Consider the following 27,186-nt stretch of genomic DNA (forward strand, 5'->3'; position numbering starts at 1 on the left):
GCTGACACAGCCGCGCCCGGCTCACCCTCCCCCTCCTCTTCAGGGTTCCGCTGGGCCTGGGGCGGGGCTTTGAGCCCGACCCCCGCACTTGTTCCTGCCGCGACCCTCCACTCGAATGGGCCAGTCCCTCCAGGGCCCCTGCTGGGAGCTCTGGTCTCAAGATCCTGCTTGGTGGGAAAAGCTGGGATGGCCGGAGGGTCTGGGATGAGGGGGAACGGGGCTGCCACCCACCCCGCCCTACACCAGGGGCCCCGGCAGGGCGGCTGAGGGCCTTGGCCCTACCAAGCCTGTGGGGCAGGGGTGCAGCAGGACAGGGAACAGCTAGTGGGCCTGAATGCAGAGGTCCCTCTGACCTGTCACCACACAGGGTAGACAGGAGGCAAGTTCTGTTTTTGTTGTTGTTGTTGTTGTTTGTTTCTTTGTTTTTTGAGACAGTGTCCTGTCGCCCAGGCAGCTCACTGCAGCCTTGACCTGCCAGGCTCAAGCGATCCTCCCACCTCAGCCTCCTGAGTAGGTGGGACCACAGGTGTGGGCCACCATGCCTGGCTAATTTTTGTATTTTTAGTGGAGACAGGGTTTTGCAATGTTGCCCAGGCTGGTCTCGAACTCCTAAGCTCAAGCGATCCTCCTGCGTCAGCCTCCCAAAGTGCTGGGATTACAGGCGTGAGCCACCGCACCCAGCCTAGCAAGTCCTCTCTTTTGAATCAGTTTGTCACCAACTACCTCAACAGTCAGTAATGGGCAGCCATTGGCGCTAATTTTTTTTTTTTTTTTCCCAAGATGGGGTCTTGCTCTGTCGCCCAGGCTGGAGTGCAGTGGCATGATCTTGGCTCACTATAACCTCCGCTTCCCGGGTTTAAGCAATTCTCCTGCCTCGGCCTCTGGAGTAGCTGGGATTACAGGTGCCTGCCACCATGCCTAGCTAATTTTTTTTTTTTTTTTTTTTTTTTTTTTAGTAGACGGTTTTTCACCATGTTGGCCAGGCTGGTCTCAAATTCTTGACCTCGTGATCCACCTGCCTCGGCCTCCCAAAGTGTTGGTATTACAGGTGTGAGCCACCGCGCTCGGCCTTGGCACTGACTTCTTTACACAAGTGACACAGCTCTAAGGCCAGACAGTAACTGCAGGTAACAGCCCACACCCCCCTTCTCTGGGCCTGTTTTCCAGCTGCCCAGATCTGTCTGTAGCTCTATGACTGACCCGATGATGCTACAAGGCAGCTGGGCTGAGGTGGTTCCTACCTTCCAGGCCAACAGTGCACAAAATGGGTTCCAGCCTCTGGGCGTGGGTACTGCACTGCTGGTCTTTGATGCCACAGTGGCTGTCTCAGTCCCTGCTGCAGGCTGACCCACCCAACCCCAAACAGTTCCCCTTTGGGGTGCTTGGTAATGAGGCTGATGCCCTGGCAGCTGGGGAGGCATCCTCTGTGTGCTCCCACCCACCCTCGGCCTCGGCTCATGCTCAGGGGATGAGCTTTGTGCCCAGCCGGGCTGTATCTACCTGCCCTGCTCACAGGCCTGTCATGTTCACATTCATGTCCAGCCTCCCTCCTGCCTCCCCAGACTGAGTGGTGCCCTCAGACGGAAACGCGGTATTTTCAGATAAACACCAGAGGCATGACTGATGTGGCCCTTGCCTTGTGGAGTGTGATGCAGCCGCGGTGAGACAAGTGAGCTGAAGGAATGCGGAGGGTGGGTAGCCCCACAGGTGCCAGCTACAGAAGTGGGGTAGGAAGAAGCCTTGTACCACCCCCACCAGGCGAAGCGCCCACAACGCCATTTGCCAAAGGTATGGCAAATCCGCAAGGCCCCTCGGTTCTGGGGCCAGCCCCATGTGGCCCCTGGCCTCCACCAGCCCCAGCCATGACTCCTACCGCTCTGCTCTGAAGGACACTTTCCCACCCCTCTCCTTGGGCCTCTGCGAGGCTAGGCTCCAAGGCAGGTCACAGTTGGTGCGGTGGGTAAGACAGAGCCATGGCTCCTGGTGTCAAGCCCTGGCCAGTCTGCTTCCCCCCACCCCCACATGACACAGCAGACCCCACAGGACAGAGGCTTCCCAGAAGAGGTCGCATTCGACAGGGCCTTGCACACACACCCATGCCACAGGTGGAGACACGGAGGCTTTGGTTACTCCAGGAGCTTCTGGTAGCGGAGTGCCTGGGTGCTCTGAGAGGAAGGCTGGGCAGTAGAGGTGTGTAGGGGAAACAAAGGCAGGCGGCAGGGGCTTGGAGGGGGCGGGGAATGCAGGTGCGCCAGGAGCACCAGGCCCCAGAAGCAGGGTGTCACTCCCCTCAGACCCGCCTAGGCCTGTGCTGCTCCGGCCACCTTGCCCCGGAGCTTTCTGGGCCTCCTGGTACAAATTCAGCCCACGGGATCCCAGCTGTCCTACCGACCCAGCTGCTAGGTGGTCAGTCTGGATCACAAGCTCTTGCTTCTTCCCCTTGGGGGCATGGCTCACATTTAAGAGGAAGCCAGAGGAAGGGATCCACCTCTGCAGTACCCGTGGTGTACTTGACTCAGCCCACCTCCCCCCAACCCACCCAAGGAGGCTGCCGCTGGTGACCTGCCAGGCCCTTGCCCCATCCTATCCTCTAGTGCAGGAGGGGAGGGAGGGAGATCTGGGCCCCAGACACAGGAAGTCAGCAGCAGCTGCCCAAGGGGCTCTTTGGCCCTTGCCCTGCAAGGCAGCTACCAAGCAACCTGCTGGACCCTGGTCCGACTTGGTCCAAAGACCGGAGGCCACAGCAGAGGCCTCACTCTGGGGCCTTCTACGCTTTCACCAGAGCTCAGGTCTCCCTCCAGGGGGCTCCCGTGAGCCTCGGGCAGGTCTCAGCCTTCCCGCTCAGGCTTCCTGAGAGGATGCCGGGACACAGTGAGACACCTAGTGGTTATTTCAAAAAAAGTCTTTTAATTGTTCAAAATAGCACAAAACGACATCGCACTATGGTAATATTGAGTCACAGGGGTTACTCTACAATAGTGAACGGTGTACTCTCCTCAGAAACAAATCAATAGGCGCGCGAGAGAAGGGATGGGGTAAAACAACAGGACCAGGTGAGTGGGCTCCAAGGTGACTAAACGTGACATTTTCCACAGCGAAATATACTATAATACAACAAACCAGAGGCCCTGGAGGACACAGGCTGCTGCGTCTCCAGGCAGAGGTCGGTAGGGGAGGGCTGGAAAGATTGGCTGCTCGGTTCAAATCCTTCTGACTTGCTGGCAAGCCTTGCTCCTCGACAGAAGTTTGGGGTGGGGGGCAGAAAACTCCAAGCAGATCCCCCAGCCTCGGAGCCTGGCCTGAGTTCCATGCTGCACAGCTGCTGCTGGTGGCCTGCTCCATTGCCCTAGCCTCCCTTGTGGGTGACACTACACAGTCACCCTCCCAAGCTGCCTCCAAGGACGCCTGGTTCCCCTCCATTCTCCACCCTTTCCATGACGATTTGGGGGAGGTGGAGCAGTGGCTGCGGAAACCAGCAGCCCTGTTTGGGAGGCGGTGCCGGTGGTGCTCAGGGAGGGGGCATGGGGAGAGCTGGAAATCCAGGACAAGGAGGCCCCAGCCCTCCCTCAAGCTCCCCTAGGCTCGACCCTATAGATGCGGAGTGATCGCCCATGAGGAATGAGCTGTCCTTCCTTTGTTCCAGCGGCCTGAGGACAGGCAAAAGGGCAGAGGGCAGGGGCCAGCAACAGGAAGTTGGGCTGGGTGGCAAACAGCAGGCCCCTCGTGGCAGATTTCACACCTCTCCTGCCCTGGCTGGCCCCAGCTTTTCCTCCAGAAAGATCCCTGCCAAGAATTAGCCAAGAAGAAAAAAGTAAAAAAACAAAAACAAAACAAAACAAAACAAAAAAAAGAGAAAAGAAAAAAGATTACACATTCTGTACACAGCTAACAACAACAAAAAAGGGACAAAACCCCACACGCTAAAATTACAATGAAAGTGTGAACTTCACCAATTGCAACCTAAAAAACACAACAAATGCAGCAGTTGGCAGTGCGGCCTGCAGGGAGGTCTGCACAGGCGCTGCCCAGGCCGCCGCGGGGCTCCTTGCCCCTTTTTTCTTTTTCCTTCTTTTCTTTTTTAAAATGGGAAAGAAGAGGGGGAGGGTAGAAGAGGTGGGAGCACAAAGGCCTCTGAGAAAATGTGTAAGCTTCCTGTGGGGTCACTGAGCAGGGTGGGCCGGGGGAGCCTGAGGAAGGGAAGTTAGGTGACTGGAAACACAAGGGGAAGAAAAGAAAACAGAACCAGACACCCAGGCCAGGGTGCCAGGAAAGCCACTCTGGGGAGGGCCAAGAGGGACGCCTTTCCTCCCCTCCATGCCTGCCCCCGACCTGGCCCTCAGGAACGCACAGCCTTGGGAGGGCGGAGCTGGCTGTCCTCAGCTCCGCCTTCCCTCCCCGCAAAAGTCTCTCCCCAGGGTGGGCGGCAGCGGGGAGGAAAGGAAGCGCGCTCCTCTCTCTGCTTTCCCATCTGCCTCTGCTTCCTCCCAACAGCAATGGTAAAATGTGCTTTCTTTAGATTATTTTAAAAACAGAGAGAAAGAGAAAGGGGAGAGGAGTGAACAGCGGCTCGCGAGGGTGAAGTGCGAATGCTGGGACGGGGTGGGAGGGGTGGGCCCTGGCGGGTGTTCCTGAAGCAGGGGGGTCTGGAGAAGAATCCAGGGGCTAGTCAGCTTCCTCTCACTGACCATCGGCCTTAGATTTCTTTGGAGCAGATTTCCTTGGAAGGCAGAAAAAGGAAAGAGAAAGTTAGTGTGGGCCCTGCACCACTGGAGGCCCTGCTGGTGCAGGGCCGGTTAGGGGCCCCCAGTCATTTGACAAGAGGCTGAACCCAGCTATTTCCACCCCTAGTCTCAGAAGGTTCCCGAGAGGGGCTTCCTGCTTACATTTCTGGAGAGGACATGGGCCGCTTGTTGGCTGGCTTGGTGCCAGAGCTGTCTTTACTGGTTTCTGGAAGGAACGGGAGAGATGCGTGAGCAGCATTGTGACAGAACGAGAGCAAGGAACACATGCGCCCTGCCCGCCTGCAGAGTCTCTTGGTGCCACATGGCATGACCCGCAGCTGGCAAGGGTGGGGCGCCTGCCCTATGGGTGGTCACCTTTTACGCCACTCCTTGGGACCAGAACACGACACCACTCACTCCCCTCTGGACGTAGGTTAGAAACCCACTCAGCTCAGCTCCCACCTCTCACTGCCCTCCCAGGTCCCAGAGCCCCAGGGGAGCTGGAGCAGGAGCATGACCTGACAGGAGGCAGGCTGGCCTCCATCCCTCACCTGCTGCACTCCAGGGACCTGGGACGTGCTGTTTTCGGGCCTGGAAACCTACACTTTCCCGCCAGCCCTCTCACTGCTTGTCCCCTCAAACATCCTGGGGTGGCGTCCCCTGCACCCCCAGGCCCGGAGCTGGGTCCCCTGCTCTACTTGATGGCCACCCCCGTGGGGGGCTGTGTGCGCGCCAAAGGAAGCAGGGAGACGCCGCACATGGGAAAAAATCTCAGATGGTGACAGTTCCTCCTGCTGCACCCGGCTTCCTGGGCCTTCCCTGTGCCTGAAGAGCTCCACGAAGGACACTCACCCTGCAGCCACCTCACTTGTGTGGCCGGGCCATAGCCCTTCTCATTGCGGGCGGCGATGCGGAAGATGATGGCGGGCTTGGTGGTGTAGTCGATGTGGGCGTTGGAAAGGCTGGAGGACTGCACCAGGCAGGAGGGGCTGGGCCCGCAGTACACCCGCATGAAGGCCAGCTGGGCCGGGGTGGAGCTCTTGAGCTCGCCCCCAGCCTGTGAGCTCTGGATGGCCAGGTACACGGAGTACTCGATAATCTTGCCGGAGGTCACAGAGGGTGGCTCCCAGGTGAGGTGAGCACCATCCGGACTCTAGAAGCCAGGGGGTCAGAAGGTCAACAGAACAGGCTAGAGGCTTCCAGAACTGACTAATCATGGTTCCCATAAGCCATTTTCTAACACAGTAGAGATATTCCATGTGGTAGTTCAAGGAGCTTCAAAGAGATCTTCCCCCAAGTGGAAGGACTAAGACAAACTGGGACTCAAAACCTAGCTCTCCTATGCCCCCCCCCGGCCACCTCATGTGCTGAGGCAGGCAGAAACCAACCAGGGACAGACGGCCACCCCACAGCAAGACTCACTTTGCTGATTTTAATGGCACAAGGGGCCCCTGGGAAACCAGGCAGGCACGTCTTAAAGGCTGAGATTTCGCTGAAGGGCCCCCGGCCACAGGCATTGATTCCGGCAACACGAAACTTATAGGCTGTGCCTGGCTGCAGCTCCTGCTTCTTCAGCTGGTTATAGTCAGGGACGGTGCCCAAATCATCCTAGGAAAAGAGGAGTGGCATGAACGCCACTGTGGAGAAGGCAGCTCTGGGCCACCCCAGGAACACTGCAGGTCCATGGTAACTATGGGCCAGAGGGAAAAGAGGTCAGCGGTGGCTGGCCCCTCACGGCAAGGAGGGACGTGGCGAGGCTGACTGTGGCCCGGTACTGGCGGGAAGGAACCAAAGCTCTCCTTTTCTACTGCTTCAGGGGGGATGGTCTCTGCCCACCTTCCTCAGGCTTCCTGGCTACTCAGCTTGGCCCAAAGATGGAGGAGTTTCCTGTAAGCCCCGCTCAGGGTGGTGGAGCCAAGACCCACCCACCTGAGGACATCAGCACCTGGGGACACTTACGTCTGATGGGACAGCATCATCTGGTGGCAGGAAATAGTGTGTCACCATTACATTGGTGCCCTTAATGACTCCCACATCAAACCACTGGTTTTCCTTCTTCATGGGGGCTTTGCTGGGTGGGGGCGGCAGGTCTGGCTTCTGCAAGACAGAATCGGTGCGACGAGATCAGGCCCTCAGCACCTAGAGGCAGTGCTGCCCCCCAGGCCACGGACTCAGGAGCCCCAACACACCCGACTCACCACACCCAGGGACTCGATGCCATTGGCCACTTCGGTCAGGGTAGCTGCAGCCTGCAGCTTGGCTGGGCTGGCCACCACAACCGGCTGGGGGGCCACAAATGTGTTGGATGGAGCCAGGCCTAGGAAGAAAGAAGGTGTCAGCGGGAAAGACTCGGGAAACCTGGCTCCCAAGTGAGACCGAGCCTCCCGTCCTGCCCTCACCTCCCTGGGTGCCCCCACCACCCCAGCACCAATTCGCCCTCAGTCGCTTACTCTCAGTGGCCGTTGAGGGCAGCAGCGCCACAGTGCTGGGGACCGTGCCGGCCAGCTCATTGAGGCAATTGCTCTCAATGGCTGGGTCGTTGAGACTGTCGGCAGGGGCCAGGGCCTCAGTGGGGAGGTGGTGATGCTGCTGCTGGGCCTGGGCCTCCTGCAGCTGCTGCTGCTGCACCAGGGCAGCCAGCTCCTGCTGTGTCAGCACAATGGGTATGGTGGTGGCCTGGCCCTCCTGACCCTCGGCCGACAGGTGCCCCAGCTCCGCCTGAGTCACGGTTGCTGCTGCCTCGGAGGTGTCCATGGGCTCGCCGGTGCCTGCTCCAGGGTCGAGAGAAACACTACTTACTAGGAAGGCTGGCCAGAAGCGGGCAGCCCGGGCGGAGGCCCCCAAAGCCTGTCCTAGAGACCCCGTCCACCTCCTACCGTGCTCCACTGTAGGCTAAGCCCTGGCCGAGGGGCCCTGCCTGTTTCCCAGGCGCTAACCCCAGCCAGCCTGTTCTACACGGCAGTCTCTACTACTTGGCCTGCCTGGGGTCCCCTGTGCTCGTCCTCCCCATCACATCTGGCTCATGCCACCCTCGAGGGAAATGGGCTCCTCTTCCCAGGCTGTCTCCGCGGCCTATTGCTCCCCCGAGCGGCCCGGCTTCCCCAGGGTTGCACCGGCACTCACCCATGACGGCCTGCTGCGCGGCCTGGAGCACCGCCTGGATGGCCAGGGCCTGGGCTTCCTCCGTGGCTGCGGCCTGGGCAGCTGCTTCTGCAGCAGCCGTCACTGCCAGCTCCTCGGGGGTGAGCCCCGTTACCATGAGGGTGGTGGTGCCAGCTTGGGCCTCGGCCATTAGCTCTTGGGGAAGTGATAACTGGTCTACTTCGGACTGTGTGGGTGGGGGTGGCTGGACCACCACAGTGGCCACCACCGCAGAGCCGGCAGACTCCTGGCCCGAAGATGGCTCCCCTGTGCTGCTCAGATCCACGGCGGCCGGGAGCTCAGGGGTCTGGGAGGCTGACAGGACCTCGGCGGACTCCCCCATCAGGGCTGTGGAAGCCGACTGCAGAAGCTGCCGTGGCGGCAGCTGCTGGCGAGGACCTGGCGACACCTGGAGTTCCTCTGGGGGCTGCAGGATGTCAACAGCAGAGAAGGGCATGTCAGAAGTTTCTGTGTTGGCTATGGTCACTGTTATTTTGGCCGGGATGGGGACTTCAGTAGTCAGAGCCCTTGGGGCAGTCTCAGTCATTGATGAGATCTTCTAGAAAGGGAGAGAAGCCCCTGTCAGAGGGGAGGAGAGGGGCCAGAGCCAGGCAGCAGGGCTGAGAAGCAAGCCAGCCCTCACCTTTCCTTGTGGGCCTAAGTTTTCATTCTTGATGGGCCAGCTCCAGCCCATGTTAAATAGGGAGGGGACAGTGGTTCTCTGACCAGCATGAGGAGAAAGGCCCTTGAGACCCCCGGTCAGGTTTAACCCGTCCTCAGTCACCCTGGCCTGGACAAATGGGCACTCAGACCCCCGCCATGTCTTATACAGGCTGCGGTGAAGTGACACGCGATGAGAACCAGTCCCAGAAATAAAAGCGCCCCAGAGATGCGGGGGACGGTGAGGCTCCTGCCTCCTGCCGCAGCAGGCACCGAGGCTGCCCTTTTATGGTCCGGAAAAGGGACCAGGAGCGGCCCCATGCCTGGTACAAGAGCGACATCTGGCGTCTGAGTGTGGAACTGCACGGGCGTAGGCCGGGAAGGCGGGGAAGAACACGGCCCCCTGGGCTCTTACCGGCACAGAGGGGCCCGGGACCGGTGTGGACTGCGTCACGGTGGTCACAGCCCGCGTCAGTGTGGAGGACACGGTTGTCGTGATGGCACTGGAGCTGGTGATGTTCACGCTGTCGCCCTGGGTGCTCTCCACCTCTCCCTGATCGCTGGCAGCAGGTGGGGGGTCTGTGGGGGCGACAGGCAGGCGGCTGCTCAGCAGGAGCCCCCCCGGCCTGTACTTGGCTTGACCACCACAGGCTTCCTCTACCACCAAGGGGAGGGCCAGATAAGGCAGGACAGGCTCCTGGAGACCTCTGTCTGCTTCAGGTACAGCCAGGACGCCCCAGCTCTCCCCACTGGTAAATTGGGTGCCAAGGAGCCTGACTGGTGGACTCTGGACGGACCCCCGCCATCGTTGTCTTGGCCTTTCAGCCTGGGGGGCTGGGAGACCATGAAAGCCAGGCTGGCCACCTTCACTTACCTTGGTTTGAACTCATGTTGGAAGTGACAGTGGTGGCCGTGTGAGTGGTGCCCGTCTCGTGGGTCTCACAGGGGGGGTTGGAGCACACCCTCTGTGTTGGGAAAGGAGCCAGCAGCGCGGTGCCAGCCTGGGGGGTGACGCTGGGTGCCGCCGCCACCTCTAGGCCAGACTCCACGGTCCTGTGGGAAGAAGTGGCGTCGGGAAGCAGGGCACCCACGCTGACCGACATGGTGGTGCCAGTGGAAGTGGTCTGGTGTGTCTCACAGGGGCGACCAGCAGGGGGCTGCTGCCCACCCTCGGGCTGGCCCGTGCCCCCGTTTGAAGTAGCGGTGGTGGCCGTGTGGGTGGTGCCCGTCTCGTGGGTCTCGCATGGCGGGTTGGAGCACACCCTCTGGGCGCTGCCTGCATTCGAGGTAGTGGCGGTGTTGGTGGTGCCTGTCTCGTGGGTCTCACATGGTGGGTTGGAGCAGACTTGGGTCACGGTGGCCGAGGGGCACAGCAGTGCCTCCAGGGCTGTCACAGTCACTGTGGTGCTGGGCGAGCCACCCTGGAGGCTCTCGCACACAGGTGCCATGCGGGGCTCCCCAGCACCCACGCTGGAACGGGTCATGGCAGCGGTGCTGACCGCATGGCTGTGGCGCCCCGCAGGAAGGTCCTTAATGCTTGGGCTGCTCAGCCTGACTTTGCTGCTCAGAGGGGCCAACTGCACAAAAGCAGGGCTGCGGCCCCCGGGCTCCCGTGCCATGCTCGGCCCAAGGAGTGGGCCGGCCGAGCACGGGGCCCCGGTGGCCATCACAGTCATGGTGGTGCTGGTCGCGCTGGTCTGGCGGGTTTGGCACTGGGACTTAGAGCCCTGGGCTGCCTCCAGCGCCCCAGTGGCCACACTGATCCGGATCACGGCAGGGGTGCCAGCTGCACAGGCCCGACGGGCATCTCGCTGGTGGTTGGCGCCGACGCTCGACATGGCTGTAGTGGCAGTGTTGGTGGTGCCCGTCTCGTGGGTCTCGCAGGGTGGGTTTGAGCAGCCATGCTGCCCGGCCATGTTGGAGGTGGCGGTGGTGGCGGTGTTGGTGGTGCCCGTCTCGTGGGTCTCGCAGGGCGGGTTCGAACAGACTCGGACCACGCTACCATTCTGCTGGCCCACAGTCGAGGTCACAAGAGAAGCAGCTGCCTCCTGTCTGTCACAGACGAACTGCACTTGGGTGGGCTGGGGGTGTCCCCCAAGGTTAGCCACAACAGTAGTGGTGGCCGTGTTGGTGGTGCCAGTCTCGTGGGTCTCACAGGGTGGGTTGGAGCACACCAAGGTGACAGTGCCAGGCTGCACATCACCCTGGCCTGAGTCGGCGATGGTAACTGTGGCGGTGGGCTGTTCTGTAGTCGGGGAGGCCAGAATGGACACAGGGAGGTCATGCACAGGCTGGGCCTCCACCCCACTAGGTGCCGTGATCAGAGTTACCTGGGTGGGCTGGGACACGGGCTGGGGAGACACACGAGGAGGAGAGTTAGTGCTGCAGCTGGCTGTCTGCCTGTCCCTCCCACTGTCCTGCACTGTCACCACACAGGCTGGGACCACTGACCACTTCTCAACGGCCCTGGCAGACGTAAGACCCACTCACCCCTGCCCCCAAGACACTGACTTGCTCAGAGGCCAGGGAAGAGGCACCACTTTGCCTCAAAGGCAACTGGGATGAGGAAGAGGCTGTGAGGACAGGGCAAGGGGAAGGCAGGAGGCTGGCTGAAGTCAAGTCCTTTGTCAGAGAATGGAAATCCCCCTCAATGCTCAAAGGCCAACAACAAACGTTTCACCGTTTTCCTTAATATGTATGAACAGAACACTGCACACACATGCAGACGAGCTGCGGCGTCCTGTAGAACACTGCGAGAGGAAGAACCCGGTGTTCAAACACCAGGCATGGCCAAACCATGACAGCCAAACCACGGACTATGACACAGGGACCATGTGACACCAGGGAAAATGCCCCAGGTGAGGAAAGGCCTGCCATGGCTGCACCCGGCAGCAGCGCAACACCAGGAAGGAAAGGCCTGTGGACGGACGGCGTGAGCCTCACGTGCTTCCACTTGTGTGGGGTCCCTCGCCCACACGTGGCCTCAGGCCCTGCCCTACCTGCATGGTGATGGTTGGGGTTGTGAGCCCGCCTGCCGCTGTCAGCGTGGTCTGTGCGGCCGACACAGTGATGGCAGTGGGGTTGATCACCTGGCTTGAGAGGGTGGCAATGGTGCCCAAGGTGGTGATGGGCGTGGCCAGGGAAGCACTAGTGCTGTGGCCCCCCGCCCCGGCAAGGCTGGTGGAGACGGTGCCTGTCACTGTGCCTAGGGTCGTGACACCTGAAGGAAAGGAGGCAAGAGTTGGGCCAAGGCTGCTGCTGTCTCCTTCCCAGCAGCTCCTCCTGCACAGGCTGGGGCACTCTGGAGCTGCTTGCATAGAAGGCTCGGGAGAGAGGAGCTGCTGTGCCACCCAGCTGTGCCATGGGGATTGAAGGCCAGCCCTGCTTCGTTATAATCTAGGGGTGGCAGGGGACCTGGCCTATGGGTACACACCTGTGGTGCCTTTCACAACCAACGTGGTGACGGCTGGCTTGACGGCGGAGACGGTGACGGGTGTGACCAGGCGAACACCCCCCATGGGCACAGTGCGGAGGATGGTGCCTGGCTGTCCCGGGGCCCCCTTAAGCACCACCTGGAACACCAGAGGAAAGTGCCACCAACGTCACCACCAGGCTGGTAGATGCCACCGATGCTGCCCCTCCCAGGCCTGTCGGGAGGACCTGCGTGGCGTGCTGGGGTGGACTGCACTAGGACACTGGGCTGAGAGACGGCTGGGAGTGCCTCACCTGGGTCACTCCCTGCTGCCCGTGGCCAGTGGCAATTTTGGGGACAGCAGTGATGATTTTCGCAGGTGCTCCAGTTCCTGAAGTCATCACCTTGGTGGTGATGATGGTGATGGGGGACTTGATGCCAGGACTGCTGGTCACACCTGGATGGGAGAGTGGGGCCCAGGGGAGACAGGCTCTGTGAGGGCTGCCCCTGCTGCCCCTAGACTATAATGAACATCCACAAGTCACAGCCATAGCCCTGCCCATCTCCTCACTACCCTTAGACACAAAAGGCAGCAAGGAGAAGATAGAAAAGGGTAAACTAAACAGAAACACAGCACGCCTTATAACCCGGACTCCATTTCCCCTCCAGTGAGGACTTGCAGACACTCATATGTCGGGGGAGGCCCCTACCCGTGGCGCCCGCCTGGGTGATGATGGCCGACATGGGGATGGTTTTGATGATGGTGGTCGTGCCGGGCTTGGTGGTACTGGGGGAGACGCTGCTGATGCCCAGGATGGTGGGCTTGGTCCCCGCCCCACTGGCCTGCGTGGTAGTGATGATGGTGGTGGGCTTGCCATCTGCTGAGGTCACCAGCTTCAGGATTGTTCCCGCTGGCAGGGGCCCTTTGGTCTGAAAGGGGGAAGCAGGTGCATGAGCCGGCATCACTGCCAGGAAGGGAAGTGTGGTCTGGCTACTCTCCGCCGGCAGCCTTGGCGGCTCAGGGAATGTTCTGGAGGCTGTGGGCGAGGGGAGTGAGCAGCAGAACTTGCTGAGCCATGTGTGCTCATGGGATCTTCCATGGGCAGGGACATGAGTTCTTCCTGTGGCCTGGCACCCAGGCCCCCACTCTTGCGTATGTGCAAAGACTGAGAGCTCACCTGGATGATCTGAGTCACAGGACCCGTGGACGCCTGGCCTGTGACTGCTGAAGTCTGAACTGGTTTGGTCTGGACCACCGACATCACTTTGCCCAGATTGGAAATCTAAAAAGGAAGGGATGGAGCAAGGAGTGATCTGGAAACCAAACAAGGGCATGGCCTGGCTGAGACTCTCCTGGAGCTGGCCCAGGGCGGCCATTCACCACTGGCAGTGGCCGTAGCCTGGCAGCACCCATCACTCACCAGAGCACTGCCTCCTGGGACAGAGATGGGGCTCTTCACCAGGGTGATGGTCTTGGTGACCCCGCCCACAACTGTGGTCACCACCTGGGCTTGCTGGGCCACTGTCACAGTGCCTGACTTGTGCACTGTGATGATAGGGCGGGTAGACGTGTTGGTGGCGGAGGAAACCGATGTCCCCACCTGGGCGGCTGCAGTCTTCAGCATGCGAGTGGCAGGGTTGCTCACCTGGAGGAGGCAGAGACGAGTGACAGGCCAGGCAAAGAAAGCGATGGGGAAACCACCCAAGATGTCCACGGTGGGCCCATAGCTCCTGCCTCAACACTCACCTTCCTCCTCCTCCTGCTCCCAAGCCCAAGAACAGCTTGGTTCCCCCTTCCTTTAACAGGCAAGGGAGGAGGCTGAGCCTGCAGCTCTCACCTGAGGCCATGACGCCCCTAATGGAGACAGCTTATTCTGCAGCCCACGGTCCAACGGCTAACTCTAAAGCCCGGAGGGAATGACTATGCTTGTTTGACCACAGTGACAAGCCCCGGAAGACGCTCACCATGACTGGCGAGGAGGCCACCTTCACAGTGGCTGGGAGGGTGGTAGTGCCAGGTGTCACAGCCATGGTCTTCACGATGGTGGTACCCGCTGGGACACTCAGCACCGTGGGTGCCGAGGAAGGGGGGATCTTCTGGGTGGCAGCGGCCGCAGCGGCCAGTGCGGCCATCCCACTCATCTGTGGGCTACTGCCAATCACCTGCAGCAGGCACGGGCATGTGAGGCCAGGTCACAGGTGCCACCCACCTCCCTGCTTGGTGGACCTCACCGGAACCTGCCCAGGGGCTGCCCTGCTCTTGGGAGCCTCATCCCGCCAGCATGGCTCAGCTTTCTCTACTGCCAGACCCCGCTCTCCTGGCCCCAGACACAGAGGGCTCCCACCACCCACCATGCACGGCAACCCCCGTGGCAAGAGGCAGCTGGGAGCTCTGGATCCTTTCTAAAGACCAGAGTCAGGTCCCGTTGATTCTCATGGGCCTGTGGCAAGCCCAGCTGGCTAGATCCTCCTCTCAGGCTGCAGGACAAGAAAGTCCACGTGGCAAATGCTCTTAGGATCAGGCAGCAGGTTAGGCCTTCTAGGCATTAACCTATTAATTCCCACCATGACCTCGCAGGAGCGTTTCCCCATCTGCACGTCCCAGGAGGGAAAGGTGTGGGGTGCGTGGTACCAGAGCCCGAGAGGGATGTGAACCCCTCAGTACACTTGCAACTTAATCCACTGGATCAACAGGAAATCCCACCCGCCCCAGTGACCACTCCTCACCGTTCCCTGGGCACTCTGTGTTGGCACAACCATCCGCACTCCGGCGGGAAGGGAGGTCACGGTGACAGGGGCTTTCCCAGCCTGGCTGGCAGGTCGCATGGTGACCAATGGAGTTCCTGTTGTAGCCTGAGGACCGGTCACTTTGAGAACAGCAGGGACACCTGATGAGAGAAGGGGCCAGCCGTCAGCCATCACCTTCTGCACGATGTCCCCAGCCCCTTTGCAGGCAGCCCTGAGCCACTTCTGTTGGCCTGCTTGTGTGGGAGTCTGGCTCTTCTCTGTGCCCTGAGAGTGACCATTTCCACAGGTGGGGCCAGGCTTTAGCATCCCCCTACAACCCTTGGAGACAAGCCCAAAGCTCCCGGCTGCTGGCCTGCTGTCTAGGCTGCCGTCTCGCAGCCCCTACTTGGCCGCTGCCTCTCCCCGGAGGCTAGCCCCCTACTTTCAAACGTCCCTGGTCCCCTGGCTCACCTTGAGTCCTGGCTGCGGTGGGCACAGAAATGGAGCTGCCAGGCACCGTTGGCAAGACCTGGATGGTGGTGGTGGTCGGGGGTGCGGGGGCAGCCTGGGGCAGGAGCGTGATGCCTACTTGGGTCAGCGGCTGCACAGCAGGTGCGGCTGCTGCTGGGGCAGGGCTCTTGGGAGGGTTGGCAGGCACAGATGGGACCGGATTGGGTGTAGGGGAGGTGGCAGTAGCAGCCGTGGCAGGAATGTCATATTTCTGGAGCTGGAGAAGGTAGCTGTCGGCTGTTGCCACTGCCCCCCAGCTCACCTCCAGGGAGTTGGTGTTGGCGCGTACCAGTTGTACTCGGGCTGGGGGTGGTGGCTTTTCTGTGGGAGAACGCAGTTGGTGAGAAGGGGCGGGAGGCTATGGGAGGAGGGGAGTCGGCTGGGCCGGGCCTACCTGTCTCTAGGTACCAGAGGTCCTTGCAGCAGACCTGGTTGTTCCAGGCCTTGCGGTAGCCGTCACGCCCACTCCAAATGTACAGGCGGGTGTTGATGGCGACTGCGCAGTGGCCAGCCCGAGCACGGGGGATGTTGTCCTCCAGTGTATCCATCAGGATGGTCTCCCAGGCCATGGTATCTGGGGGAGGGCAGACAAGGGAGGTCAGCAAGGAGGATGGAGGAAACCCGCCACCCCTGGTTGCCCTTGGTTCTTTTGTTGTCAAGGATGGGAATTAAAATCAAGAAGTTATTGGATTATTACATTAAAAACAACAAAACAAAGAAACCCTTTGTGGCAAAAAGCAACACAAAAAATAAAATTACAAACCACCAACGGCCAACTAAGAAAACCATGAGAAACACAGTCAGAGGTTTACCTCCTTGCCCGTTAAAGAACACTACAACTCACAGAAAGAGACGGCAATGGGAAAGTGGTTTAGGGAAAACGTGATAGAAAGATCTTAAGAAAAAACACACACTCTCACGCAAAAGAAATCTAAACTTCAACCATCGGCGCCTGGCATTTTTATTTTCAGGCCCGCAGCAGCTGGGGCTCAAGGTGAGCCGGAGGGGGAGCTTCGGCCACCCATCAGGCTTGGCAAAGAGTGGCCTGACCATTCCGTGAGGGCACCACTGGAGGCGCCTACGTGGGCACAGCCTCTGTGCAGGGCAGTTCAGCCGCATCGGACAGCAACCCTACTTCTAGGTTTTCACCCCTAGGATACACTTGCACACGGGTGGAGATGGTGCAAGGATACTCACGGAGCGGCGCCTGTACAAGTTACAGCAGCACAACCGCAACTCGAAGGAGGCTGCTGCGGGGCAGGGACGTGGAGTGATCTCCAAGATACGGCGGATGAGAAAGGCCAGGTGTGGCACTGCGTGCGCCAGGCTGCCACTGTTTGTTTTTAAAGGGACCTATGGCTAATGCTCAGATATGAAGAGCCCCTGCAGGGTGGACAGGAAACCACCCACATGGCTGCCTCTGAGAAGCAGAACCGGAGAACCGGGAGGAGGGAAGGAGGCCCTGCACCGTAGAGGCTTTTGCACTTTTGGATGTTGGGCCATTTGGATGGAGAGCTCATTCAAAAAACTCAGAGGCGGAACATTGCTTCAGAGAGCTCTGCCCACTGGATCCTTCCAGTGGATTCCAAAGGGAGCCGGGGGCCCAGCTTGCTCCCCGCACACCCCACACAGCTCTTAGGCTGAGAAGGGCCAGCCTCCTGCAGCCTCCCACAGGCCACTCGGAGCCCGAGGAGGCCATACCCAGGTTGAGACAAGCCAGCGTGTTGGTACACTTCCACTCCTTCTCGTGTGTGGCCACTTTGACGTCATCCATGACGAGAGGCACCCAGCCACCAAACACGTACATTCTGGGAGTGAGGAGGGAAGAGTGGGAAAGGATTGTAGAGTTGGTGCCAAGCTAGAGGCCACCTCTGCTACCCCAGTTCTAGAGCTCAGTCCTCTGGCTCTCCCCAGGAGAGTCCCCAAGGATGCGTGAAGCCTCCTGACGTGGCCCTCTCCTGCCTGGTGGCTCAGCCCTCAGGAGAACTGTGTCACCTCTACCACATAAAAGTGCCGTTCAGCTCATCTAAAGCTCACCTTCATGTCCACAGTTTCTAGGTTCCCTTTAGGACCTGGACATCCACAAAGACACCCAGGTGCTTGCACAGAGGACCTAGAACACTCTGTACCTGATAGGGCGGAGCCTCACAGGCCCGGGGAGGGTCTCAGACTCAGCTTGTGTGTGGCCCTCTCCCCCCTGAATCTGTCTTTCCTTGGTCCCCCAGGGTCGTAATGGAAAAACAGGGCTGCCAAATGCCAGCCCAGCCAGAAAGAGGCATCCTCAGGCCTTAGGGTCTGACAGGACAAAACTGAGTGAGAGCCCTTCGGGGGAGGGGCCACGCCAGTCTAGAGAAGAGAGACGCAGGTGAGCAGCCACTTACTTATTTCCGATGGTGGTTGCCGAGTGGAGACTGCGAGGAAGAGGCGCCACCCCGCTGAGACTGGGCTTATTCCACGTCAGGGTGTCTGCAGAGAGACGGAGGGGAAAGGGTTACACAAGGTAGACTGCACACAGGTCGTTCCCTGGATTCAAGCTAGCTCAGGAAGGTAGGATCTGTCTCAGTGAGAGAATTCCATCCCTGGCTTCCCTATAGCCTACGGCAGGCCCTCTGACTGTTGTCATGGTAGCTAGATTCCTGTGTTACCCAGGCGGTTTCGACCAGGCTAGCAATAGCGCTCCTTCAGGTACATCCTGAGCACCTGCCCTGAGCCAGGACTGCACTCTGTGCTGGGGGAGGAGTGGTGGGCACACCCCGAACTCTCCATGAAATACGTTCACCGCCATAACCACCTTAGGCTACAGACATTTTGGCAAACTGTTGGAAAATTCTCTCACGGGAAACTGCTTCTTTGGAGTGCCGACTCTGATCTATAGGACAACATCGCCATCTCCTCTCTCCCAGCTGAAGAGGCCTCCGGAGATCCACAGTTAGTAATCTTTCCCAGCCACTCCTGATACCACCACCTGGTGACCGGCCCAAGCAGTCCCCGAAGGCCTCACGGTTTACCGGCATCCAATGGTACCACAGCAGTCAGACCAGGATGCAGCACTCCACACAGTCTGACCACTGACGAGTCAAGAGGGACTAATGCTACCCGGATCCAGAGAATTCCATTCTAGAAAGCCTTAATGACTTATTCTCTTATAAGCCCGCAGACCAATTCAGCCCACTCAGCCAGCACAGGGCAGAGATAACAGCCCCAAACCTAGGGACGATCCAGGGTTCCCCACCCTGGCCCACCATGACAAGAGGAAAGCACGAAGTGGTATGCTCCAGCTCCCTAAGAGCCCCACCTCACCATACAACAGCGCCACCCACGGGGCCAGCCAAGAGGCAGACCCGCTTTGTCCCATGGCTGCTGGGGTGCTACCACCCTGCTCACCAATATCTAGGGTCCACAGGTCCCCCAGCCTGCAGCCACTCATCCCGCCGTAGATCACCAGCTTGGACTTCTTATTGTCTTTTTCGGTGTAGACCACGGCAGTATGTGACTCCCGGGGTGGTGGTAGGACCCCGTAAGTGATGGGAATGTCCCAGGCTACCACTCCAGAGCCTGGCCGTAATTCCAGGATATATAAGTCATTCAGGTACCTGACGAGGAAAGATCAGTTACGGCAAGTCTCGACTCCTCACGCCAGAGGCTTCGCTGGATGGCTATCAGTGAGTGGCAGCCTCCCCAGAACACAAAGGGGCTAGGGCTGTGGGAGCTCTGAAGTTCTTCTACCCTAGCTCTTGAGGAAGGGGCTGCCAGAAGCTCCCTAGGATGAGTCCAACTGGAACAGGGGACACAGGGTGGGTGAGGCTGCACAGCAGCCCCGAGTCCAGACCCAGCAGCAGGCCCCCGCCATGCACACAAAGCTGGGTATTATATGAGGGCTCCGCAGAGCAAGAGGGGGCGCTGGCTTGGGACTACCTCCAGACAGAGAGTCCTTGGCCACGGGCCTTGGAAAATACCCATCAGGAAACTTGTAGGCAGCGGAGGCTGAGAAGGAACGCGAGCAGCTCTAAGCCGACTCCGAGAGCTGGGCCAGCCCAAGGCAAAGTGGCTTCCACCTCCAGCTTGGCCCTCCTCCCACGAGGCCTGCTCAGGGTCAGTAGCGATTTTGGAGCCCGAAAGCTCCTGAGAGGGCATCCGGTGCCGCTCTCTCATTTACAACCCAGCACGAGAAAGGGACCCGGCCACGGGGCTCTGCTGCGCACATTCTTTAGGACACCATGGAGCCCTGTGCATGTGAGAGCACACCCACCCGGGGGGTTCCAGAGAAAAGGACCAAGCCTCACCTTGGAATGTTGTTCTTTGGGTCCTCGCTATCATTGGCCAGACCCCCAAACAGGTAGCATTTGTTGCCCACAAGGGAGAAGCTGTGCCCGAGTCGAGGACACGGAGGGGGCCCGTTTTTGGGCGTCTTTGCTTTGAGTCTCTTCCACTCCCACCGGCTCGCCTGCAAAATCAAGACCTGGAGACTGAACCGTGGGATGAGAAGGCCACCACTAGGGACCCGGGGCAACTTGTGGTGGAGGAGGAAATGGCCGGGGGTGAGCGAGGTGCCTTGCTGGAGCAAGAAGGTCCTGGGTGTTGGTCCTTGCTGCCTTCTTCTGAGGTGGGCCAAGTTCAGAGCAGCCTTGGCAGACTCTCAAGCGTCCCTTCCACCTCCCGCTTGCCTCAACCCTGAAGCCACTACCGTCAGGTCACATGGGGCCAAGGAGGCAGAGTGAGAACCTGGGGCTGCTTTACCTGGAGTTCGTAGAGGTCATTGCTGTATTTCCCATACTCCACCATCCCACCAAACACCAGGAGGCGAGTCCCGTCACACACGAAGCCATAGGCTGCACACCCAGGGGGAATGTCCCCCCTCACGGCTGGGATGAACCACTGGTTGGTTGCTGGGGAACAGAAGGAGGCAGAAGTCAGAACACCCGGGAGCCCCCATTCCTCTCATTCCCCAAATGTGCCAGCCGTCAAGCTTGGTGAGAGGGGCTGAGCCAGCACCATCCCTGCGGGCGCTCTAGCAACTCCAGCTGCGCTACCTGGGCCATCTTCCAAACCCCTCGACTTCAGGCCAGTGCAAAAGAGCCTGTGACCACCCTGCTTCTCGCCAAGGTCATCTTAATGAGCGGGAAGTTACTGTGCAAGATCCCTCATCAGCTACTGGGAATCTAGCCACTGCCTTCCTTCCCTAGCACTCAGTGATCAGACATGAATTTCTCCCCAAAATACCCTCTTGGTGGGCCTGTGCTCCTCCTCCCTGGAGCCCACATTTTTGTCCCTTCATCACAGGGTCAGGACAGCCAGAGCCCAGAGCAGCACTTTCAAGTGGCCAAAACAGTGACCGCTGCAGGCTACGAAGAGCCATGGGGATGAGACCCGGCCTCTGCTCTGACCTCCCGGACTTCCTCTGGTCTCCTAGGTGATGGTCCACCAGCATCCCTCCCTGCCCCTGCTGCCACACCTATGGTACTCCAGAACATTCTTGCAAGCCAGAGGCAGCAGTCTCAGCAGAGCTGTGACAGAAGCTTCTCAAAAGCTCATGAGGGTGAGGCGACCACCAAGAAAGAGGGAAATCAGACCTTAGGCACTGCTTTGCTTCCACAGGATGGCACAGCAGCCTTCAGCTGGGACCAGGCCCCTCCCTCATGTCCTCAAACTTGACTCCCCTCACACCTGGCAGGCCAGGGCTTCCCCGAAAACCTCCTCCTATGAGGGGTCCCTCAGAGGATTCACCACACTCTTTCCAGAAACCCCAAACTGGGGGCCAGGTGCAACCCCGACTCTGTGCCTCTGAGCTGGCCTGGGTGAGATCTCAGCAAGCAGACGGCAGAAGGAACTGAGGCCCCTCCACATGACTCAAGACGCAAGATGGGTCCCCCAGGACGTGACAGGGCATGGGGGGATTCCTGTGGGGTGGGAAGGCTTCCACACAGGGATGCTGTGATATTGTGATATAATACAGACTATTCAGTTTGGTGGCCAAAAGTGTTGTGAGACCATAGAAGAGGAAAAACAGTGTTTTTTTTCCATATTCAGGTGTGCACCCAGGGCCAGGCGGCTGACCATGGTTGGGAATGCATGCCCCACTGCACTCTGGTCCCACCCAGTCTCACACTGTCACCCCCAGGGCTCAATGCGGAACCGTGTGCAAGGCTAGCCCTTATCCAAAGCACAACTCCCAGCCTGGGTAGCACAGGGAGACCCCGTCTCTACAAATAATTTTAAAACACTGGCTCAGTGTGGTGGCATACACTTGTGGTCCTAGCTACTCAGGAGGCTGAGGCGGGAGGACTGCCTGACCCTCAGAGTTTGAGGCTGCAGTGAGCTGAGACCGCACCACTGCATCCCGGCCTGGGCAACAGAGCAAGACCTAACCTCAAAACAAACAAACAAACAAAAAAAACAGAAAACCCCACACAGCACAACTGTACCACCACCGCTCCTCCTGAGGCGAGAGCACCCCCACCCCGCTCTCCAGCACCCACTCTGCGGGTAGGCTTCGAGCAGGCTGACAGCCTCTGCAGCCATTCAGCTGAGTCACTGGGCCTCGGACATGCCGAGCACTAGAGCTCCCCTGCCATTTCCCTAAAGCAGAGGGACAACACCTGTGCCGCCCGCATGTGCAAGCTCGGATCCTGGCCCTCTGCCTCTTTCTCATTCCCAGTGCAAAAACCACCCCAGAAAAGCAAGAGCTGCCAAGGCCAACAGCCTTGCGCACTGGAGAGCCGTCCTGACCAATCCCTGGAGGGAGCTCCATGCAAGCTACCAGGGTAAACGCATAACGAGACCTAAGGCTGCCTGGGCCAACTGCTCTCGGTAGGTAAAGGGGCAGAGCCCAGGAGGGCAAGCGACACCTGAGGTCACAGCGTAAAACAGAGACAGAGACAACAGCCCCATCACTGACTTGAAGCAACCGATCTGTGCCTTCCCTAGGGTCCCATGTCCAGGCAGCCACCCTCACTCCCCTGAGCACCCTCGTGGTCAAAGCCCACAGCTATGGGGCTGCGGGTCAGAGTTTGGGACAAAGCTAAATGGCACGTGGGGTCAGTGGGCAGCTTTCCTATCACACGCTGATCAGTGAGCCGGTGGGCCAGGCCAGAAGCGCCCTGTGATATCTTTGGGGATCCCGCTCACCAGATCCTTCTACAGGACCCAAGAGGTGCTGATCTCATTCTAGAACACTCCAGGCAGGGCAGGGGCCCTCCCCACCCCCGTCAAGAGAGGTCTGTCAGGGAGCACAGCTCCTGGTGTGACGACAAACCTGCGGCTCCTCATCTCACCCACGAGTCCTGGTTCCGCCCCCTGAAAGCACACGAGCAAGCTCTCCTCCCTTCTCCCAGCTTTTCAATGTGACAGCTGCTCTCAGTCACCCCTGAATCATCTGGGGGGTGTCATGTAACCCAATCCTTGGGCCCCTCATCCTGGAAATGCTGGCTCTCAGCTGGGAGGGGAAGGTGGGGAAAGGACCCTGCACTAGATGAAGACCACTCCAGCTCCCCTCTCCTGAGCAAGGCTGTGCCCCGGCCTCTCTGTGTTTCATCAGCTCCCCCAACCACTTCATGCTCTGCAAGCTCCATCCCTGGTTGCCACTGTCCCATCACCACCTAGAGACTGGTGCCCATGCAGTGAGGTGGCCGGTCAAGTTCAACGAGCTGCCTTCCTCTCTGTTCTACCTGTCACATTAGAGCATTTCCTGTGTGGCATACGACGTGCTGGGAGGCACAGAGGACACCGATCTTGTGCTCATACTCCCAATGGGGTAGGAAGGCTGCATGCCCCCCTCCCACGATGAGACAAACACCCTAGAAGAGCTCTGACCAAGCCGGGCCCTTGGGAGCACAGAGCAGTGCGACTGCTGGAGAGGGGAGGACAGGAGTGGAAAGGGCTTCTCAGAAGAGGTGACGTTTCAGCCGGGCCTTGAAGGGTGAACAGGATTTCCCGACAAATGAAACTAGCAGGGCCAATCAGGAAGTGACTGCAAGAGTCTAGTAAGAGGAGAGGAGGGCTTGGTGTGGAAGGGGACACATTTGATGCCTGCCCAACGCAATGAACAATTAGATACAGGGACAGAGGAGAGAATGGAGGCATTTCAAAGGTGATGGGCCCCAAAGACAGGTGGCAGAACGGCCTCTATGAAGGTTTGCACTCCCGCCCAACTCCGCCACCAGCTGGGAGGGCGACCCTGGACCTGTCACTTCCCCTCTTGGACCCCAATTTCCTCATCTGCAGAAACAAGGAAGTAGTTCCACTAGGTATTTTCCAAGGCTCCCTCCAGCTCCAAGAACCTATGGACATTACAGAGCCACCGTAGCCAAAGCTCTCGCTCCCCCACCCCCCACACCTGGCAGCACTCTGAATCCTTTGGCTTGCCACATGGAACTAAAATTCCCTAAGGACAAGCACAGTAGCTACCCTAAGAGCTCTCAAAGCACACACCCCCTGAAGCTTTCTTATCCTAGCAACGGGAACCCCTTCCAGATCAGCTCTCTCCAAAGGTACAAGGCTTTTTGAGGACTGATCCCGCAGAACTGCAAGGGGCACAGGCGTGAGAATATGCCCTGATCTCATCCCAAACACAACAAAAGAAGACAAGACAAAGGTGACGAGGCCGGGCTGGCGGGAGGGGGCAGAAACCCCGGTGAGGAAGAGGGCTTCAGGTCTGCCAGCTGCTCTCTCGTCTGAGGAATTGCCGATGACAGTTTCCAAACTGCTACCCTGGAGGATCCCAGAGCTTCATTTTAAGCAGCCCTTTGGAAGGCAGGCTACCCCTCTAATGCACAACCTGTCTTTGCAGACTGGTAATGAATTCATGCCAAAGTGGTCAATTCATTTTAATAAACTAATGAATATGCAGAGGCCCCAGGAAGCCAAGGCAGCAGTGGTGGTGGACTCTGGAGCCGACTGTAATTAGGCCCCTGCCCTACTTTCTAAAATTGCATTTCCCTGCCAGGGAGCCTGCTCCAGGCCTTATGAGAAGAAAGTCGGTCCACAGAGTGGAGAAGGTGCTGCTCATGGTGACGGTGCCTCTATAAACAGCCCCACCACTGGAGAAGCCTTAGCTTACTGAGCTAATTCCTGCTACTGCAGCTGCCTGGGCTGGCGCGGGGCACCACCAACCACCAAGCGCCCCCGCCCGGGGGCTGCTGAGAAAGGCCCTGCTCCCTGGAGGCAACAGGTGCTGAGAGACCTGGAACGAAAAACGGTCACAGACAACCCACCAGCCTTTCAAAGTCAACGTGGTAGGTGGCGATAATCTCCGAGATGTGGAGAAACCAGCACTTTCTGCCTTGGGGGGTGGGGAAGGAAGCGGCACCCAAGAGCCCAGCTCCAGCCTTCCCAACTCCCTAAACCAACTTTCTCCCTCCAGGCAGCTCCAGCTTCCCACCCCCAGAGCATCGAGGCACTGGAGCTCAGCCAAAGAACAGCAGCCTCTCACCGCTCAGGACACAAAGCCCACTCAGCGAGGGTTTGTCTGCAGGGCCACCACCGAGGCCAGGGGATCGCTAGAGCCCCCAGGAGAGAACGGCCGCGGAGCAAGGGGTTAGTGCTGGGAGCCGTGCCTGCCACTCAGGACTAGGGCATCCCAAGGCCCTCCCCCAGCCGCCTGCAGGGGGCTTTTCCCTCACCCAGACTCTTCCAGCTCTTGCCTGGGACCGAACTCACCCTGACCCTGCCTTCTGGGCAAGGCCAGGGTCCTGTGGGCCAACGGGCAGTCAGTAGGCAACTTGGGAACTGACCCTTGTGCTAGGGGCACAAAACGGGCCAAGTAGCCACCAAGAAAAAGGATGCCACAAAGCTGTCGTGGACAGCAGCAGGCTTTCTGCCCTAGAGACTAAGCAAGGCTACTAGGCAGAGGCAACAACAAACGGCCCCCACGAAGGCCGTGGTGCATCAGCCATACCTGAAGAGAGAGGTTCCTCCCCTTCCCAACTAACGGGCTTTGGGTTTTGCAGGGAGGCAGAAGAGCGGGTGGGGTAACCCCCTGGATCCGCAGAAGCGGGGAGACACACGACTACGCAGGCCGCTGAGGGGTAACTGGAATTCAGCTTGTAAACCAGAAGGCACCAGATTAGGAGAAGGGGCGACTTGGAAAGAAATGCTGCAGAAGTAAACGTGGAAAGGGAGAGGCGGCCCTGCCGCCGGCCCGTCCTAGGGGTCCCCAAGGCTCCGGCATTACCCGGGTCGGCGGATGTTAAACTCTGCGTCCTAAGAGCGCTTCCCTTCCCTCCCTTTTTCGAGAGACAGAGAACGAATCTGTAATCTAGAAATGGTCATTTCTCCAGAATGGGCACTCGAGATGAGGGAGAGCTGAGCAGGCGCAGGAGAAGGGAGGGAGGGAGGGAGGGGAGCTCTGCCTGCGCCAAGGGGACACATCCGCCCGCCCCAGCCCCAGCCCCAGCCCGCTGGGTAACGGTGTGGGTCTGAAGTCACCACCGCTGGCGACAGCCCCTCTCCCTCACCAGTCGGACTAGGGGCTTTCTTTTAACTAACGAAAACCAATCCTCAAACACGGGAGAGACAAGGGAACGGGGAGAAGATCAGAGAAAAGCACTGAAGCCCGGCACAGCAAAGGGGAGGGGCAAGCCGATCAGTGGGGAGGGAGGGGGAGGAGGGGAGAAGGGGGAGGGGGACGGGGAGAGGGGAGAAGGACGGGTAAGGGAGGAGGGGAGAGAGAGAGGGAAGGGTAGAGGGTGAGGGAGGAGATGGAGGGAGGGAGGAGAGGGAGGGAGCAGATGGAGGGAGGGAGGAAAGAGGAGGGAGAGGGAGGAGATGGAGGGAGGGAAAGAGCCGAAGACCCAGCGGGCTTTGCACTCACCCGTGTTGTACACGTGCAGTTCGTCCACTATTCCCTCGTTGCCGCCGCCAAACACCACGATGAGCTCCTTGATGGCCACGGCGCGGTGGCCGTGGCGGGGCCGTGGCACCGGACCCGACCAGCCCACCACTCGCTTCCAGCGGGGCTGCAGAAGCACCGCTGGCAAGTTGGCGGGCGACACGGCCGAAGCCATAGTTCCGGGAAAGGGTGCGGTGGGGAGAAGTCAACAAGCGGGAAGGGAGCCCCTCAATTCCTTTCACACACCCCCTTTCGTCTAAGGCAGCTCTCACGGAGAAGCGGTTTCTCACACAGCGGTAGACGACTCCATGGAGGCCGCCATCTTAACTGCCCTCCTTCCCTTTGGCTCTTCCCTTTCTTCTCGCTCACCCCGTCTCCGCAAGAGCCGCCCGAAACTGTCGAGCGCCTAGGCTCAAGAAGCTGGAGGCCGCTGAGTCCCGTCGCCCCGACTACTTGTCCGGGCGCTCCCGCTTACAAGCTCGGGCGGGAGGCCCTGGGAGCCGCCATCTTGAGCCGCCTCTCTCTCCTCCCTTCCTCAGTCGTAGCCCTCCCCCGCCGGAAATGGCGGAGCCCCGGCCCGGTTCCCACACCCCCAAGTCCCCAGCACTGGCCGGCTTCCGGGGCGGGTGGAAAGGAGCCACAAGCGCCGCGGTCGTCGCAGCCCCGCCGGCGCTCAGACCACAATTGTGGGAGCCGCCATCTTGAGACCGTCCCGCTTCCCCGCCCAGCGCCTTAGTGCAGCCGCCGCTCCCGAAACAGCCTCGACACACCTAACGAATGGAGGCGGGCCGGAGGCCGGTGGAACCAGCTCGAGCTCTCGAGGGCCGTTTGGGGGCTCGCGCCGTACGGCTTGTGAAGTCTCGCGCCTCTCCCCTTAGTCCGCCTCTGCTGCTCAGGCTGCGCCTGCCGCCGTGGGAGCCGCCATCTTGAGACTAGCTCCCCGTTCCCCCCTATTCTCTTCCTCCTAGGTCAGTTCTTCCACTGCACACCAAACTCAAGGCGGTGTCCGATCCTCACTTCCCGCCTTATGACTCCTTCCCACAGGAGCCGCTTCAAAGAGCTAGAGTTAGGCCCCGAAGCGGCAACTGTACGGCAGAAGAAGCGGTAACGGCAGGGCGCTCATGCCTCCTCCCTGGGAGCCGCCATCTTGTGTGAAGAAGTAACAACTAAACATGGCGGCAGCGGCGCCG

The 27,186-nt window shown here is 59.5% G+C and overlaps 1 protein-coding gene and 1 long non-coding RNA gene across 18 annotated transcripts, besides 11 other annotated features; one reads left to right on the plus strand and one right to left on the minus strand.

Moving 5' to 3' along the window:
• Positions 126-889: an enhancer, noted in NCBI's record as "H3K4me1 hESC enhancer chrX:153210247-153211010 (GRCh37/hg19 assembly coordinates)". NCBI's record gives its function as "activates a minimal SCP1, AML or CMV promoter by ChIP-STARR-seq in naive H9 embryonic stem cells {active_cell/tissue: H9 hESC(naive)}" and the evidence as "EXISTENCE:reporter gene assay evidence [ECO:0000049][PMID:30033119]".
• Positions 157-216: a silencer, noted in NCBI's record as "silent region_21076". NCBI's record gives its function as "represses an Ori minimal core promoter by ATAC-STARR-seq in GM12878 lymphoblastoid cells {active_cell/tissue: GM12878}" and the evidence as "EXISTENCE:reporter gene assay evidence [ECO:0000049][PMID:35858748]".
• HCFC1 (host cell factor C1) lies at positions 2,888-27,149 on the minus strand. Of its 17 annotated transcripts, none has more exons than NM_005334.3 (26): positions 25,979-27,149; positions 19,909-20,057; positions 19,455-19,615; positions 18,556-18,764; positions 17,553-17,637; positions 16,873-16,979; positions 15,566-15,745; positions 15,133-15,492; positions 14,662-14,822; positions 13,900-14,097; positions 13,356-13,580; positions 13,113-13,217; positions 12,645-12,864; positions 12,249-12,391; positions 11,956-12,094; positions 11,522-11,742; positions 9,397-10,873; positions 8,938-9,101; positions 7,845-8,289; positions 7,172-7,489; positions 6,920-7,038; positions 6,681-6,818; positions 6,144-6,329; positions 5,574-5,874; positions 4,884-4,947; positions 2,888-4,717 (listed from the first exon to the last, which is right to left on the minus strand). In NM_005334.3, the coding sequence occupies exons 1-26, from the start codon at positions 26,169-26,171 to the stop codon at positions 4,678-4,680; spliced, it is 6,108 nt and encodes a 2,035-aa protein (NP_005325.2). In that variant the 5' UTR covers positions 26,172-27,149; the 3' UTR covers positions 2,888-4,677. The 17 variants fall into 17 exon arrangements, with proteins under 17 accessions (NP_005325.2, NP_001427777.1, NP_001427778.1 ...); NM_001440848.1 differs by having other exon boundaries at positions 6,911-7,038; NM_001440849.1 differs by having other exon boundaries at positions 7,172-7,492.
• Positions 3,056-3,595: an enhancer, noted in NCBI's record as "H3K27ac-H3K4me1 hESC enhancer chrX:153213176-153213715 (GRCh37/hg19 assembly coordinates)". NCBI's record gives its function as "activates a minimal SCP1, AML or CMV promoter by ChIP-STARR-seq in naive H9 embryonic stem cells {active_cell/tissue: H9 hESC(naive)}" and the evidence as "EXISTENCE:reporter gene assay evidence [ECO:0000049][PMID:30033119]".
• Positions 8,784-9,023: an enhancer, noted in NCBI's record as "active region_30044". NCBI's record gives its function as "activates an Ori minimal core promoter by ATAC-STARR-seq in GM12878 lymphoblastoid cells {active_cell/tissue: GM12878}" and the evidence as "EXISTENCE:reporter gene assay evidence [ECO:0000049][PMID:35858748]".
• Positions 21,011-21,669: an enhancer, noted in NCBI's record as "H3K27ac-H3K4me1 hESC enhancer chrX:153231131-153231789 (GRCh37/hg19 assembly coordinates)". NCBI's record gives its function as "activates a minimal SCP1, AML or CMV promoter by ChIP-STARR-seq in naive H9 embryonic stem cells {active_cell/tissue: H9 hESC(naive)}" and the evidence as "EXISTENCE:reporter gene assay evidence [ECO:0000049][PMID:30033119]".
• Positions 21,670-22,329: an enhancer, noted in NCBI's record as "H3K27ac-H3K4me1 hESC enhancer chrX:153231790-153232449 (GRCh37/hg19 assembly coordinates)". NCBI's record gives its function as "activates a minimal SCP1, AML or CMV promoter by ChIP-STARR-seq in naive H9 embryonic stem cells {active_cell/tissue: H9 hESC(naive)}" and the evidence as "EXISTENCE:reporter gene assay evidence [ECO:0000049][PMID:30033119]".
• HCFC1-AS1 (HCFC1 antisense RNA 1) lies at positions 24,096-25,422 on the plus strand. The gene is made up of 3 exons (NR_046608.3): positions 24,096-24,401; positions 24,530-24,702; positions 25,116-25,422. It is a non-coding gene; the product is annotated as an HCFC1 antisense RNA 1 (long non-coding RNA).
• Positions 24,555-24,733: a silencer, noted in NCBI's record as "fragment chrX:153234675-153234853 (GRCh37/hg19 assembly coordinates)". NCBI's record gives its function as "represses an EF-1alpha promoter that drives an FKBP-Casp9 reporter gene in an ReSE screen in phorbol 12-myristate 13-acetate-treated (for megakaryocytic differentiation) K562 erythroleukemia cells {active_cell/tissue: K562(+PMA)}" and the evidence as "EXISTENCE:reporter gene assay evidence [ECO:0000049][PMID:32094911]".
• Positions 25,520-25,759: an enhancer, noted in NCBI's record as "active region_30045". NCBI's record gives its function as "activates an Ori minimal core promoter by ATAC-STARR-seq in GM12878 lymphoblastoid cells {active_cell/tissue: GM12878}" and the evidence as "EXISTENCE:reporter gene assay evidence [ECO:0000049][PMID:35858748]".
• Positions 25,749-26,598: an enhancer, noted in NCBI's record as "NANOG-H3K27ac-H3K4me1 hESC enhancer chrX:153235869-153236718 (GRCh37/hg19 assembly coordinates)". NCBI's record gives its function as "activates a minimal SCP1, AML or CMV promoter by ChIP-STARR-seq in primed H9 embryonic stem cells {active_cell/tissue: H9 hESC(primed)}" and the evidence as "EXISTENCE:reporter gene assay evidence [ECO:0000049][PMID:30033119]".
• Positions 25,749-26,999: a biological region, named in NCBI's record as "NANOG-H3K27ac-H3K4me1 hESC enhancer GRCh37_chrX:153235869-153236718".
• Positions 26,240-26,999: an enhancer, noted in NCBI's record as "active region_30046". NCBI's record gives its function as "activates an Ori minimal core promoter by ATAC-STARR-seq in GM12878 lymphoblastoid cells {active_cell/tissue: GM12878}" and the evidence as "EXISTENCE:reporter gene assay evidence [ECO:0000049][PMID:35858748]".

Source organism: Homo sapiens, chromosome X, assembly GCF_000001405.40.
Source record: "Homo sapiens chromosome X, GRCh38.p14 Primary Assembly".
Taxonomy (NCBI): domain Eukaryota; kingdom Metazoa; phylum Chordata; class Mammalia; order Primates; family Hominidae; genus Homo; species Homo sapiens.

Coding starts and splice junctions, on each gene's coding strand:
- HCFC1 (XM_047442051.1), bottom strand. CDS start 26,171: ATGGCTTCGGCCGTGTCGCCCGCCAACTTGCCAGCGGTGCTTCTGCAG. Junction 16,980..17,552: donor GCAACCACCATCGGAAATAA/GTAAGTGGCTGC, acceptor CCTCACTCCCAG/AATGTACGTGTTTGGTGGCT. Junction 9,102..9,396: donor CAACATGAGTTCAAACCAAG/GTAAGTGAAGGT, acceptor TCGCCCCCACAG/ACCCCCCACCTGCTGCCAGC.